The sequence below is a fragment of the Homo sapiens genome, chromosome 18 (genome assembly GCF_000001405.40).
Source record: "Homo sapiens chromosome 18, GRCh38.p14 Primary Assembly".
NCBI lineage: Eukaryota > Metazoa > Chordata > Mammalia > Primates > Hominidae > Homo > Homo sapiens.
In genome coordinates, this window is record NC_000018.10 from 76,431,183 (window position 1) to 76,444,319 (window position 13,137).

Below are 13,137 nucleotides of genomic sequence, written 5' to 3' on the forward strand. Positions count from 1 at the left end.
TAAGAACCACAAAAAGAAAAACCACATACACACAAATGAAAAATTACGAACTTGTGCCAGAGACGAGGACACACACACACACACACAAAAACACTTATCAAATAAAACTTAAATGCTTCAAGCATTTAAAAGAAAGTCTAAACTTATGAAATAATTCAGTGTGCCCATGATGAAAATGCAGACTAAGAATGATGCAAATCAAATGGCAAGCCACAGATTCCTTTAAGAACTGACTGAGCCTAAGTCATACCAGGAAGTCAATCCTGAAAGCAGCGAGAGAGGGGCTGCTCTGGAAGGTCCTGTGCCCGGCATGACGGGGCTTGGACATCTGCTGCCTCCAAACCTCATGTTGCGACCGATTCCCTTTGTTGGAGGTGGGGCCCGAGGGGCGGTGTCTGGGCCATGGGGATGGGTCCCTTACGAATGGCTTGGTGCTCATTGCAACGAGTGAGTTCTCGCTGAGTTCACGCGAGATCTGGCGGTTTCAGAGTGCGTGGCACCTTCCCTTCTCTCTCTTGCTCCCGCTCTTGCCATGTGACACATGGGCTCCCCTTGATCTTCCACCATGATCCTAAGCTTCTTAAGGCTTCACTGAAAGCAGATGCTGGCACCATGCTCCCTATACAGTCTGCAGAACCGTGGGCCAAAATCAATCTCTTTTCTTTATACATTGCCCAAGTCTCGGGTATTCCTTTACAGAAACACAAGAATGGACTAACACGCAGTGCACCAGCAGTGCCCCATGCATTCCGCCTCCAGGTGTGTTCAGGCGGCCCCGCCCACCACTGCCCTGGCGGGAACAGGACAGGGTCTGCTATTCTAAGCAGCCACCAATGCCAGGGCCAATGGCAAAGTTCCCGTGGATGAGACGCTTTGGAGATAGTCTCTGCAGATGTCACCAGTTGAACAAGGAAGGACTCCTTAAGGAAAGGACAGGCTTTGGGATCTATCTAGAGATCCTCAAAATGTGGCGCCCACAGCACTCCTCAAGCAATGGGATGGCCAGTCCTCCAGCACCTGCCCTCCTCCGCAGCCTCTGCCTTCGGCACCAACACCGTGCAAAGCACCAGCACCATCGATACCTGCTCACCCCATAGGCCTCTGCCTTGAGTGCTCATGCTGTGGAAAGCCTCAGTACTGTCATTACCTGCTCTCCCCACAGGTCTCTGCCTTCCGTGCCAACACCGTGCAAAGCACCAGCACCACCGCTACGTTCTCACCCCATCGGCCTCTGCCTTCAATGCCAGTGTTGTGCAAAGGGCCAGCACCGTCACTACCTGCTTACCAGGCCCATCACCTCACCTGAGCTGAAACAGAGACCATGCACTCAACTGTGTCCTTGACAGCTCACTCTTCCGTGTCACCTGAGCCCTGTGTGCTGGAGCTCAGTGGAGAGCAGCCCCAGATGGGACTCCAGAGCCTACAGCCCCACTCTCTGGGCCCCAGCGCCAATGAAACTCATGGATCTTCCCACATCCTCTGGCCTCCAAAGGCCATCAGGCCCACGGCCCTCTGTACTGAGGTGGGAAACCATCCAGTGGCCTGACCAACCTCTCTCTAGGAAGCCTGCCGTGACAGTCTGGGGCCCAGGCAGGACCCCATGCCCAGGGTCACTCGATGTTAGCATCACTCTCTACTGGGAAAGGGCTTAGCCAACTTCTGCTCCTCATCCACAGTAACAACAGATCAGTAACAAAGGCCCCAGACACAGCAACTCCAAGCCATGGCTCTAACACGAGGCGTGTAGGGCCAGAAGAAGGGAAGAAGGCGACCTCCCCAAATCCTCACTCCATTGAGTCCAACAACACCAAAAGCGAGACCTGGCCGCACATCCTGAGTCCACACATCCTGAGTGGCAACGACACTGAAATCCACACATGCGGCACTTTCCATTGAAGACTCTGTAGGCTTCTGAGATGCTCCCATTAAATACTAACTGTAAGGCCAGCCTCTGCTGCGACTGCTGTTCATCGCTGTTTCTGTTATCAGACAGGAAGATCTCTAGAGTCTAGACATCCAGTAAAAAGCACCACTGACCGCTGAGTACTCCCGTGCAAAACTACCCACTCCCGAATACAACATTTCTCCATGGAGTTCGCTGTCAACTCTGAAGAACAGAATTCATCAAGGTGCAGCTCCAGCCACTGTTCTCAGCGTGAGTCCTGCGGGGCCCTCAAGAAAAAGCAGGTCTGGCCCCTGTCTTCAATGAGATGGCAATTTGAGGATGCCTGACGCAAGGCGGATGCTGGGGACAGAGAGGGTCATCCTGCCTGAAAAGAATGTGTCCACGCAACAGGGAGGAATGGGGCCAGCCTGAGGCCCAGGTTTGCATTCCACCCTGGGTGCCGTACCGCGGCTGCACGCTCAGGCCTTGTGGAGGAGACATGGGAGCCTTGAGTCTGGGCATAGCATCCGGGTCACAGCAAGGTGGAGAGGGGAGAAGACGGGCAGGTGCCAGAGCTGAAATGCATATGGAGCTGGGAGCCACCTCAGCTTGCAAGGAGGAACACCAAAGGGCTGGGCAGAAGGGTGGGAATCCGTGCGTTAAGCAAACGCCTAGTGAAGAATCGAGAAAGGATGGGCTTAGTCGCAGCACATCACGGATACAGGAGGGCGACAACACAACCAACACAGGCAGGTGCAGAATCATCAGTCGGAATGACTAGAATCTCCCAAAAAGCTCAGCAGCAAGGCATCATCTCACAGTGCCACGTCCCCAGCTCCACAGGGGTGCACACCGCTCCATGGCATCACACCTCTCCTGGCCGGGAAACCCCACCGCGACCGCCAGCACCTTTTCTCACAGGTGCACCAAGCCCTCGGCAACGCCTTACCCAACCCAGCACCTGCTGCTCTGGCCGTTGCTGTCCGTTCTTCCAGCTGGTCAGGAACTGACGGCTCGGAGTGGAATCAGACCTCCCTCTTTACCAGGAGCGATCCTGCCTGGTCCATGAGATGCCCTATCTCACGGGAACGGGGTGCAAGAACCAAATTCAGGCATTTCTGCTCACTATTGATAGATGAAATCTACAAAAAGGAACCCTTCCATTTCAAGCCAGAGAAACAAGTTCAAGTCACACCTGGGAGGACCGAGCGCCACTTCTTCACGACACAGCAACAATGACATTCACCCAACAGGTTCGGGGCTGAAAGTCGTATCCAGCACTACCCCTCCTGCAGACTGGAAAATGCCAAATCTAGCAGGGAAAGGAGAATTAAAGTAAAGAAGTTTAGCATATGAGGCAAAGAGAAAAGGCTGAAAACTGTTCCATCCAATAAGAATCTGTAAACGCATCCACTGGCTCTGGAGTCCGAGAATATCACGAACTTCTCTTTCAGTGAACATCACTGAATGTCTATCCTAAGTAACTTCCTACGTGGCAGGAAGGAAACTCGGCACACCCCACAGGACTTCTGCACAGAGTACCACGGCTGTGGCTGTGGGACATCCCGGCCTGCGTACAACATGGGCACAAGTGCAGATGCAGAATCTGAGCCGTCCTGGGACTACGCATTCCTGCCCCTCGCGGACACACCAGGAAGGGGACCCTTTCCCAGGCTGGAAGCTGGACACTAACAGGAAGAGTGCGTGTGCAGGATACCCACAGTGTGCCAGGAACACACAGGAAACAGAGCAAGGACAGCAGCTTCGGTGGAAATCACAGCCTCCCCACTGCAACGCAGGACACTGCAAATTCCCAGGGGCTGAAGAACTTCTAATACCACACTGTGACTTGGTGACTAAAAGAGAATTAAAATCCACACTTCTGAGTCCAAGCTCATGTGCCCTCCACCAATGATGCCGTGTTTGAGCAATGCACACACCATTCGGCATGGGGCAAAAGCCAACCCTGCCCTGTGCCCTGGTTTCCTTACCAATAAAACGGGAGGATAGAATGGATACCTCTTAGTTCCCTCCCACCTCGAAAATTCTATGATCCTATCTTGAGTTAAAAGAGAGAGAGAAGATAAGTGTTTGAATTTTCCTGGCAAACCAAAATGTCTGCCTGATGTTTGTTTCACGGTACCAAGTACGTACATCCCACATGTATTTCTCAGTGGCGGGAAGAAAGCCCCGGAGTATAATCTCTGAAGTCTAACGCTTTTCACAGTCTAATAAATTCATTCTGGAAGGTCAGAAAATGTAGCACTCTGTTCAAGCAAATATCAGCATGCATGCCATGCATAGATTATCAACGCTGAAAGAATCAGAATACAATAAAACGTATTTAGGAGACACTATTCTCCTCATAATTTAATCTTCCTCTGATAACTCGGAAAGCACATGAGGACACCCAGGGCCCTGTGAACAATCACCGTCGTGTTCATGTGTGCGGGAGCGCGGATTAAGAGTGGGCTCCGGTTGCTAAGATGCTGACTACATCACAAGGCATTCTGCATGTGACTGTCAACTACATCTGAATATTTTTCTGGAAGAACACTGCTGCATTTTTATACTAAACAAGAATTTAATATCAGGGTTTTCCAACTCATACTTTACTCCCAACGAAAGGAACTCCTCAGAACTCCGTACAGGGTAAAGTCACGGAGGATGTCTTCTCTCCAGGTAGAGCCCTGGAGAGCCCTCTGCAGGGCACACCGTGCCAGCTCTTCCAAAGCCTGCAATCGGCCTGCAGCTTCCTGACCTCGGTCTCCGTTCTTCTGAATTTCTGTCTCACCAGATCCCACTCTGGTTTTGTTCTCTGGATGTTCTATGGCTCCTTTTGGTTAGGGAAAACACCCCAGGGAGCCCTGTCAGGCCTGGCATGGGCCACATGGCGGACAGTAGCTCTCACTTTTTGGGGGCACCTGACTTCAGGACAGCCTGTCACCCCTGCACTTCAGGAGCACCAGAGCAGTCTATGTGTGAACATTTATTAGATATTATGCAAGATGAGCCTGGGGCTGTGGCACGACGAAGGAACTGGGCAGAGCCCGGCCGAATGAACCTGTCTGGATACTAAGGGGGGCTGGCCTTCTGCTTTTTACCTTTACCCATTCTGCAAGCTCCTGTTTAATAGAGGGCCCCAATGCCACCAAGACCCCCTCAGAATGAGGACATCCCACAGCTCCAGGCCATGGAGTGGCGTTTGCCATGAAATTGTTCCCAGCCGTGTGTGCTTTCCTTCCCCAGCTGAACTGGATGCTATTTCCTGCCTACACTTGGAACTTCCCTTGATGAACGCACTTCACTCGTTTTCTCTCCTCCTTGGTCCACAACCTCTTTCTTTGAATCGTTTTGAGCCTCTCGTGGGACCCATGATGAACACTGTGTGAGGACAAGCGCTCCTCCCAACCCATGACTTGGCTTCAGAGAGAGCTTTGCCCGTGTTGCGTCCAAGCCAGGACACCGCTGAGTCCCCGAGAGACTCAGCATCGCGAGTGGATTCAGCTGCAAGGTCAGTGCGCGAAGGTATTGTGAGAGCTCCTCCTGCTCTACCTTGAAGAAACGCTTAGAAGAAGTACCATATAAAGGTTGCCCACACCCAGCAGGCTTGGCCGCACAGGCAGACACCCCTCCCAGCTCACCCCCTCATTCCATTCTCCCTTCCGCTGGCCAAATTCACCCTCAATCCTGTTTCAACGGGTAAACACATCCTCCAGGCCAGGTGCAGTGGCTCACACCTGGAATCCCAGCACTCTGGGAGGCTGAGGCGGGTGGATTGCTTGAGACCAGGAGTTCAAGATCACCCTGGACAACATGGCAAAACCCCATGTCTACCAAAAAAATACGAAAATTAGCCACGTGTGGTGACCGCCTGTAGTCCTAGCTGCTCTGGAGGCTGAGGTGAAAGGATGGCTTGAGCCCGGGAGGCGGAGGTTGCAGGGAGCTGAGATTGTGCCACTGCACTCCAGCCTGGGTGACAGAGCAAGACCTGTCTAAAACACACACACACACACACACACACACACACACATACCGTCTCTCACCCTCCCTAAGCTATTCTAATTGCTGTCTGTGTTCTATCAGAAAGAAAGAAGGACAGTTGTTGAACCTCTGTGCCCAGCCGCATGACTGCAGCCTGGCCTTCCTCACAGCCAGCGCACCAGCACGGACAGCCAGCCAGCCTCCAAGCACGTGCTCAGCAAACACCTTACAGCAAAAGCCTCAGTGCGCCTGGTGACAGTGGAAAGAAGATGGGCTCTGAGGACGGGGCTGCTGGGCGGCAGGGAGGCAGCCAGCGAGGGGACGGGAAACGTGAGACACTCTGAAGGTAGAGCCATTTCCTCCTTTAATTACCTTTCCTTCCCTTGACCATATTTTTTTTTTCTTTGAAGACTCTTTCCTTGATTCTTCAAATTGCATATAATACCAAGGCACTTGTTCCAAGCACTTTTTTTATTCTATTGAGTCATACAATTTGCCATTATGTTGATCAAAAACAGTTGAACACAATGGTCCTTTGTGGGACAGGGGTGACTGATTCCAGGACTCCCCGATACCAAAATCCAGGATGCTCAAGTCCCTGGTGTAAATGCCTGCGTGTAACCCACGCACATCCTCCCGTACACTGTAAATCATCTCTAGATTACTTATAATAATGCAATGTAAATGCTCTATAAATTCTGCTGTGTTGTTTAGGGAATAACAAAAAAAAGCCTGTATATGTTCAGTACAGATATAAACATCTATTTTTCTTTAATATTTTCAGGCTGTGGTTGCTTGAATCCAAAGATGTGGAATCCACGGATACACAGGGCCAACTGTACTTGTAACTTCCCACAACATCCTCTAAAACTTGAGGGTGTCCCATCTATTGAGTCGCAGTGAGTATCTAAAAAGTGAGGGTGGGTTCAACAGGATGGAGTATGGATTTTACATGACAGATATTAGCACGACAAGAAATGGTGAAAAGCGGGAGTAGTGAAATTAGTCTTGAATGATATGCAGCTCAACGGGGCACCGCTTGTGCATTATGAGCACCTCAGAGCATCCGCCATGGCCTGGGCACCAGGCATCCCAGTCCAGGCACTTCTCAGGATGGCACGAACTCTGACAGCAAATCTTCCAGAGATGTGCAGCCTCTCTGCATGCTTCTGTTATTCCTAAGTCGCCTAAATGCTTTCTGAGCAGAATTCTATTTTGGCCCATACACTGAAGGTTTGTATGTCTCCTTGCAAAGCAATATTCGTTTTTCCTTAGTGATGGTTTCTAAGCTCCCTGAGCCTACTTGTGTTTGGGAATGTTGGAAATGTTGATTTTTACAAACTCCAATTAGATGCCCTTTCACCCCTCTTTCTTACTAAAAATATTAACTTTTTATGAAGTCCAAAAGTAGACTTTCTGTCCATGCCACGTCTCTTTCTCAGTGGAGGATTTAAATCTAGTAACATATTCCCAATGACTGACTTTTTTTCCATAATTTTGCACTTCTACTATTTTAAGTCAATAACGAGAGCTGCTGTGACCAAGTCTTATGTGGGGATAAAAGTAACATGAATATCAGAACACTTTCCAGAGGAATAGATGGCAACATTCAACTGACGAAACATGTTCCATAAAAAAAAAGGAGAGGAGTTTCTTTCACTTAATCTAATAATGCAAATTATTTCCAGATCCAGAAACAGCATTCAAATCAATTCCCAGATGTCAAAGAAAATGTTCGGGCAAAATTATGGCACAACTGGGTATTACTGGAATGGTCGCATAGATCTGAATTCTAATTTCAACTGTGCTCCCACAGGCAGGCTGGCTGCTGCTTGTAAGAACCACTGTGATCTTTCGTTCCTCAATTCCCACACAGACACTCTAACAGTGTTAACCAATCATCCCATCAGAGTTCCATGAGAATTTAAAATAACCTAACACTTAAAGAACTAAGTAATCTTTTTAGTAACAGGAAAGGCAAGCATTTCCCAAAGTTGCGTGTATTTTTTCAGAAAAAGAAAGGAATGCTGCAGATTTAAATATGAGATTCAAAATACCCAGTTTCTTTTCCAAGCTAGCCCTGTGAAAGACCTGGGCCAAATCCCACAAATCACAGTGTTTTGAGAGTAGTTAAATCAATGGAACACGGTCTCTCTCTCCTTAAAGAATATCCATGAATTAGTAATTTGTTGCTACACTAGACCATTAAAGGCAGCTGTTGTGAGTGAAAAGTTGGTGTTTTTAGATAGAAAGATACTGTCCTTTGGGATTACGGAAAGTGACCCACATACACCTACAGGGCTCTTCCATGTTTCATGCCTCTGTCGAGCCATAAATTTCTGTCCTCTCTCAATAAGCTGAAATATCCTATTTATTCTATCACCAACTGTTTGTTACATTCAACTATGATACATGTCTTGTTATAGAATCAGCTGAGGTCTGTATTAACTTTCTCAAAAAGTTACACATAGAGAAAAATATATATAATGTCTTTAAGACATAAACAGTAGTCTCTAAAATTTAATGAGCCTGAAAAAAGAGTACCTTCCAATTTATGATGGGAATCATTTGATCTTTCCAACTTCTTGATTTCTAAAAGCACTACTGGATTAGCTTACTATGAATCAGGTGACCACCATCATAATCAATGGGGTGAGTGAGGCCCAAGAGCTTTTCCAAATATTAAGAATATTTCTCTTAAAAGTGAAAAGAAAAAAAACCCATAGTCCTAGCCCAATATTTTGTCCAGCATGTGCTCCAAAAAGTAGACAGAGTATTACTGGAACATAACCAGTAAAATCTGTATTTATAAAAATAAAAAAAGAACACCGAGAATTAAACTTAAAAGAAGTCAACCAGGGGTCACGATGGGGTCAACCCGGTTTCACATGACAAATTATTCAAAAAATCCAAAAGTGTTCATTGAATGAGCACAGCATTTTCAGAGAAGACCATGTCCCCCTGCTCCTCCCACGGGGACCAATGACTAAAACGCGAAGTTAAAATACGCATTACTGAAAAGTCATTTATCTATGTATACACTCATAACCTGTGCGTGGATTCAACACAAGTTTTGCTACAGGAGAAAAGACTTGCCTTCTACATCTTTGTTGACTCAATATGCATTTCAGTGTAACAGACCCTCACATAACACACTGTGTAAGACGCTAATAAACTCTGTCCAGGTTTGGCCAAATCTCTAATAAGGAAAAATGACACGGTCTTCTGTTTTGTTGTGAAATAATACAGCACAGCAGTCATCTTCTTCACCACAGAATATAAACAGCCCTGCCCCGGGCTTGGATTTCTATCACTCTTAACAGTCCAGGTAAAAAGCAACAGTCAGTAACGGCGTTGCAGAGAAGGGAAAAACATCTTTGGCTTTGTGGAGAAACATGCAAGTTCTCTAACTGAAACATCACTTTCCACTTAAAACAATTATGCAAAGCAAAAAATAATAAAAGAAATATCAAAATGTTTAAAATTTATAGAAAGTAGGAGAATTATGAAAACAAAGTTGGCCAAGCATCTTTAAATATTTACATGGCTATGTGAAAAGTAATCTGTTCCAATTAACTGTCTCTAAACCCACAGGGTTACTTGAATCCAAGAAGATTAATTATAACTGCACACCAATTTGAAGATAGTCTTCTACCCAGCTGGAGTGGAGGAAAGTGTGTGTGTGTGTGTTTGTGTGTGTGTGTGTGTGTGCGCGCACGCGCGCATGCATCGTATGGTGAGAACTGGGTCTGAAGCAGAAAAAGAAGGGGGTGAATGTCTCAGAAGGGATCCATGATGGTGTTCTTTGCTCAGAAATTAGGATTACAGATGCTCAGGTGAGACCATCAACCCTAGAGGTCAAAGGTGTGAGTATATGCAAACACTGAAAGGGGCTCCAAGGGGAGCTGATGGGTGTCTGTGTCTGCACTCCAAAGTGCCAGTTCCAGATCCATACTGGGGACAGATTCCTGGGTGTGGGGGACCCTGGGCACAGGGACCCTGGGCAAGGGCACAAGGCCACCCGGGTGTGGAGTCCTGAGTCCCAGGGTTACCTGAGCATAGGCCTAGCTGAGTAAAGGGCCACCGGGTAAGGGGCTAATGAGCGAGCCTACTTGAGTATACGTTTACCTGGAAGCAGGAACCCCCTGAGCCTGGGATCCCAGGACCCAGGCCACCTGGGTACACTTGCTCACCTGGTGCAGGTTCAGGGGCGCCCTCCTCACCACTGTCTTCGGCAGCCTCGTCGGCCAGGCCAGAGCCCGGGGAGTCAGCAGCGGCACAGGCGGAGCCAGGGCTGCTGGGCTGGGAGGCCGAGTCACCCTCACTGAGTGATCCGCAGCGGGCCCGCGCCGCCCTGTCCCCGTCACTGTCCCTCTCGCGGCGCGCGCGGCGATGCACGCGTGAGTGCAGCACCATCTGATGATAGGTGCGGAAGATCTTGCCGCACTCGAAGCACTCGGAGGACTTGCCCTGGCCGGTGGTGGCTGCGGCCCTGCGGTTGGGGCGCGCGGCCGAGCGGGGATCGAGGTGGCCGGCGGGCGCGGGGTCCCCAGGCCCGCTCGCGCGCTTCCGCGGGGGCCCCTGCGCGGCTGGTGCATCCTGCTCACGCTTGCGCTTCTCCTGGCTCACCAGGACGTACTCGCGCCTGTCCTTGTCGAAGGCCACGTCCCCGGCCAGCGCCTCGTCCCAGGCCCCGTACTTGAGGTACTCGGCCGGCTCGGCCACCTTACCCCGCGTGGCCAGCTGCCAGGCCTGGTAGCTGTTGACCGGGTCCAGCTCAGCCACCCGCCGTCCGGCCTGCGTGCCAGGGCACGAGTCGCCGGCCGCCGACGGCCTCAGGTTCAGGCACTGGAGGAAGAACTGCTTGGTGTCCGAGGGCCCCTCCGCCCCCTCCTCGGCCGGGGCGCGCGTGCGGCTGGCCTCGACTCTGCGGTGGATGGCATTGTGGGCGTTCAAGCTGTCCAGGTTTGTAAACAGGTTCCCGCACTTGGCGCAGACCTCGTAGAGGCTCAGGCCGGCGACGATCACCTCCTCCTGGACCACGTTGTTGATGGTGGCGATGGGGTCCAGCTCACTCTTGGGCCTGTTCTTGCTGCCCGTCTTGGGGCCGTGCGCCTTCATGTGGTTCTTGAGGAACCAGGGCTCCTTGAACCTACGGCCGCAGATGTGGCAGCCGTGGTCGAAGGAGCCCCGGTGCTTCTTCATGTGCGCCTTCAGGAACCAGGTCTGGCTGAAGGCCTGGCCACACACCTCGCACGGGAACTCCCCGGGGCTCAGCTCGGGCTTGCCGTTCTCCACGCAGGCCTCGCCGCTGCCGGGCCCCTGCGCGGTGATGTGGTCCCTCTCGATGTGGCTCAGCAGCGACTCCTCCCGCAGCGTCGCGTAGCTGCACAGCCTGCACTTGAACGGCTTGTGCGCCTGGTGCACGTGCAGCTCCAGGTCCTTCTTACGCTCGAACTGGCTCTTGCAGAAGGAGCACTGGACCGCTGCCTTGGCCTCCCCCGGGGCGCATGCGGACCCCTCTGCCCCCTTCTTGCTGCTCCGCAGCAGGACTCTGCCGCTGTCGGCCTGCGAGGCCCCGTTCAGGACCCTGGCGCCGTCGGCCTGCGAGGCCCCGTTCAGCAGCCGGTTGCAGGCCGAGGCGCTCTTGGTGGGGCTGGCGCAGGCGTCCAGGCCCTCGGAGGCGCGCATCTCACCCAGCGGCGCCTCGCCCGCCTCCGGCTCGTGTCCCTGAATCAGAGTCCCCGTGCGGTGGCTCCGGATGTGAATCTTCAGGTTGCCCTTCTGGGAAGCCCGGTGGTCGCAGTAGGGACACTTGTAGGGCTTCTCGCCCGTGTGCTTGCGCATGTGCTGCGAAAGCGAGCTCTGGAAGGGGAAGCTCTTGCCGCAGATGCAGCAGGTGTGGCAGGTAGCCTTGTCCCCATCCACCTCGTGGCCCCGGCCGGCCCTGGTGGGGCTGGGGCCTCGCCTCAGCTCCATCTCGGCCTCTCTGTTGCGATCCATCCGAAGGACGGGCGCGGCCGGTGGTGGCGGCACAGCTTTCTGTCGCGCGGGCTGCAGGGACCGTCCTATCTCTCCATGGTCAGAAGAGCCAAAAGACGTGCCTGCTCCCAGGAGGTGCACCTTCTACATGGGGGGCGCAGCAGCTGGCAGCCAGCACCTGAAACAGAGATGGAACATCATCAGCAAAGCTCCTGGCTAAGAGGGCACAGGCATGGCTGCGGGAACCCCCACATGCTCCCCAAAACATACCCATCCAACCCACATTAAGAAAAGCGGCACCAACAACACTTCACACACAGGCGAGAGCAGCTGCTTGCCTTAGTAAAAAATCAGTATCACTTAATTATCAATAATGAACTATGTTAAATGATTAACATAAATGTTAATGATTGTGCACCAAAATAATTTTCTTTTCCCAATAAGGTATCAAATCTTTAGGAGAGACTGTAGTACCAGAGTGTGTAGGAGTGTGAGGAATACCAGCTACTTAGCAAGACCATGTGGGAATTAGGGACAGAGGAAAGCAAGGTTTAGGAAAAGGGCAGGAATAAGAACAGGGGCCAAGTTCCTGGGCTGATGGAAGGTGAGCTGCACAGGTGGTGACAACAGTTGACGGCACTTCACACACACAGTCACGTGCCACTTAGCCAATGGGATACGAGCTGAGAAATGCATTGTTAGGCGATTTCGTCCCTGTGCAGACATCCTACAGTGGACACACACACCCGCAAGATGGCACAGCCCGCAACACACCTAGGCTGTATGGTGAAGCCACAGCATCCTCCTAGTGAGGCTGGGTCTGCTCCTAGAGATTGTGCCCAAGCCTGAAAACAGTGAGCATCAACCACCCTGCATGGCCGCCACCTACATGCCCATCCCACCCACCAGAGGGTGAGGAGGGCAGAGGCCCACTCCCTCCAGGCACACAGGCAAAGGGCAGCCTGCCAGAGAGTAGCTGTGTCCAGCACGGAACAGGCCCCCACCAAGGACGAGGGACGCATGAATCAAAATGCTTGTATCCAACCAAAGAGGCCTACATGGTGCAAGGAGAAAAGCAACTCTTCAGTAAAAACAGGAATCCCACCTGACACAGGGTAAGTAAGGTAAAGCAGCAGAACGATGAGCCAGTTAGAAAGGATGTGAGAGATGTCGAGTCTCTCAGGTCAGCGTCTGAGTGTTCAAGAGGGAGGGGCTGCACAGACAACTCCCCGGGGACAGGCTCTGCTCATCTGCTCATCTCTGCATAGAACAAATCCATTTCCTGC

At 51.4% G+C, this 13,137-nt stretch overlaps 1 protein-coding gene across 16 annotated transcripts in view, besides 1 other annotated feature; it reads right to left on the bottom strand.

The window, feature by feature from the left end:
- The window catches only part of ZNF516 (zinc finger protein 516), a 138,738-nt gene that overhangs the window by 73,501 nt on the left and 52,100 nt on the right, over positions 1–13,137 (bottom strand). For all 16 annotated transcript variants that reach the window (XR_007066258.1, XM_047437953.1, XM_047437952.1 and 13 more), the window contains one exon: positions 10,063–12,029. Coding sequence is in view for 15 of the 16 variants with exons in the window: in XM_047437953.1 (XP_047293909.1) it covers positions 10,063–11,872 (1,810 nt within the window). In the remaining variant the exon portion in view is untranslated. The remainder of the gene's footprint in view (positions 1–10,062; positions 12,030–13,137) is intronic.
- Positions 2,268–2,437: an enhancer, noted in NCBI's record as "experimental_50380 CRE fragment used in MPRA reporter constructs". NCBI's record gives its function as "activates a minimal promoter by MPRAs in K562 erythroleukemia cells, with activity observed for both the introgressed and non-introgressed 18:74145491 variant alleles {active_cell/tissue: K562}" and the evidence as "EXISTENCE:reporter gene assay evidence [ECO:0000049][PMID:34662402]".